Source organism: Homo sapiens, chromosome 18, assembly GCF_000001405.40.
Source record: "Homo sapiens chromosome 18, GRCh38.p14 Primary Assembly".
Lineage (NCBI taxonomy): Eukaryota > Metazoa > Chordata > Mammalia > Primates > Hominidae > Homo > Homo sapiens.
In genome coordinates, this window is record NC_000018.10 from 32,546,644 (window position 1) to 32,549,444 (window position 2,801).

At 40.9% G+C, this 2,801-nt stretch overlaps 1 annotated feature.

Moving 5' to 3' along the window:
* Positions 1,892-2,445: an enhancer, noted in NCBI's record as "OCT4-NANOG hESC enhancer chr18:30128498-30129051 (GRCh37/hg19 assembly coordinates)". NCBI's record gives its function as "activates a minimal SCP1, AML or CMV promoter by ChIP-STARR-seq in primed H9 embryonic stem cells {active_cell/tissue: H9 hESC(primed)}" and the evidence as "EXISTENCE:reporter gene assay evidence [ECO:0000049][PMID:30033119]".

A 2,801-nucleotide genomic window follows, 5' to 3' on the forward strand; every position in this document is an offset into this window, starting at 1 on the left:
GGAGAAAGGCAGGAGGGAAGGAGAGGTAAGAACGAACAGAGGAGAGAGGTGGAGACAAAGAGTCTGATGGCCTTCTGCCTGGCTTGCCATGTGGCTTGCAAGTACATAAATTAGAAGCTTGAGGGCAGCTGGGGGAGGCTGAACCATCTTGACTTCTGGATGGCTTTGGAACTACAGCATTGCTTCTTTGGAGGGGCCCAGCTGAGGTCAGCACAGGTGTCAGTTCAAAGATGGTCACAGAAGTAACATTTCAGCTATCTGGGTCTTAAAGGCCTGCTTTTAACATGATTGGGGTGGTGAACGGGTGAGGGACTGATACCTACTGCTCTGTTTTTTTTTTTTTTTTGAGATGGAGTCTCGCTCTGTCGCCCAAGCTGGAGTGCAGTGGCACAATCTCGGCTCACTGCAAGCTCCGCCTCCTGGGTTCAGGCCATTCTCCTGCCTCAGCCTCCTGAGTAGCTGGGACTACAGGTGCCTGCCACCACGCCTGGCTAATTTTTTATATATTTAGTAGAGACGGAGTTTCACCATGTTTGCCAGGCTGGTCTCGATCTCCTGACCTTGTGATCCGCCCGCCTCAGCCTCCCAAAGTGCTGGGATTACAGGCGTGAGCCACCGTGCCCGGCTCTGATACCTACTGCTCTAACTCAACTACTCAACATTTTGCTGTTGAAGAAGGAAAGAATGAATGACGGGGAAGAGGAATAGCCCTTTCCAGCTGCTCCCTGGGAACCACTCTCAGAGCACCTTCTTTGCATTTATCACAGTGAAATTAAGTAATTAATTAGGTGGCTTAGTTTAATTTTTTTTCCCTTCTGTTTCAACTGCAGGATTTCCAAGGGCAGGGGCCAGATCTGCCTAATTCATCCCCTCGTCCAGCAACAGTTACCGGCACAGAGTGGGTGCTTAATAACAATCTGATAAACACACCCTCCTGTTTTCTTCTCCACAGCCGCCTCCAGGACCTACATCACAGTGTAGAAACTGTCAGAGCAGTGACACTATTAAAAAAAAAAAAAGATTTTTTTTCACATTTTTAAATTATTTATTTACTTAAAAATAATAAGCCCATTACATTTTAACATAAATATTCTTGTGGAAAGTATATTTTCCAAAACCAGAAAAATTAGTTACAAGAGTGACATTATTTTATATTCTCACAAATCTATTCAATATCTGACTTAATTGAAGACACGTGGATTCCCATATCTTTTGCATTCTGCAGAAATTTGTCATTTTGGTTTAAGAATATGAAGAAAATTTGACCTCACAGAGAGAGGTAGCTGGAAAAAGGAGGTGTATTTGAATATCTTTTTCAGGTAATTGTAGCTGTTCTCATAGACTATAACAGAATTCAACAAGTGATAGTTTCTTAAAAGTTAGTTACAATGTGGACTATTAAACCATATGCATGAACTTTTCACACTGTAATGTATCAAATTCCACTGGTCTTTTACTTGGAACAGACCTTTTACCCATGCGTGATTTTATTTTTATTTTTATTTTTTTTGCTTTTTATGGGCTTTTATTATAGCTTTTATGATCAGACATACAAATATAAAAACCCACTCCTCGTGGCCTTCCTCAGATCTATTTGTCAGGGTTTTCTTAAAAAAAAACTTTTTAAAAGAGCAGTTTTATGTTCATAGCAAAATTGAGTGGAAAGTACAGAGAAAGTACCTTTACTCCCCTGCCCCTGCACAGCCTCGCCCTCTATCAACATCCCCACCAGGGTGATGCATTTGTTACAACTGATGAACCTACATTCATTGATTGGCGCATTGTCACCCAGAGTCCATAGTTTACATTAGGGTCCACTTTTGCTATTGTACATTCTATGGATTTAGATAAATATTTAATGACATGTATCCACCATTACATCATCACATAGAGCAGTTTGAGGGCCCTAAAGACAATGACACCTTAATTTTTTTTTTTTTTAGTTACTTGTTTTTAGCACTCAAAATTGCTTAAAAGTTTAGGAAACATGCTTGACATCTATAAGCAGAGGGCTTAAACGGGCACAGGGTGCCAAGAACTGCAGGACACAAAGCAACCCAAACCTGACCCTGTATCAGCATTCAAAAGAAAGCAGAGTGGTCTTGTGGAGTGGCTTTGTTAGCAAGCATGGAGAATCAGGGTGCCCTTGCAGGAGCCAGGGGACCTCTGGGAACAGGGTTTTGATTAGAAGTCAATGGTCATGGGGCTTGGAGAGACCGGTGAGTAATTTTCTATTTCAGCGTGGATAAATACAGGAAGCACCAAGACAGCTGAGCTCTGAAACGGCAGACAAAGGGCAAGATTTTCTTAAGTACTGGCTGAAGTGACTCTCCTCTAAGCCTGCTAATTAGGGGATTTAATCTCCCAGCAGGTGAAAAGGACAAAGGGCTTTTTCCATAGTGTTTTGCCAAATTCTAAGGTTAAGCACAGTCCAAAAGCTATTAGCCTTCTGCCAATATGAGAATGAATCACAAGTAATGTGAGGGAATTAAAATCAAGGTTAGATTAAGTCAAAAAATAATTAAAAACCATTTAAGGGAATCAGGAAGTTATGTGATGTGTACCTAAGTATTTCTTTTTCATTAAATCTTATTTCAAATTGTATATATTATCATTAATATGCACATGTTGGGGTGGTTTATGTTTAATCTGTAGAGGTTGTTATTTTAGTAAGGTTGTATATAAAATACTATGGAAAGAAGCATATGAGAAATAGAATTTGATGCTTAGCACTGAGAAGGTAATTACCCTGCTGGGAAGGACGCCTGACCTAGGGTCCCCTAACAGGCACCACCACCACC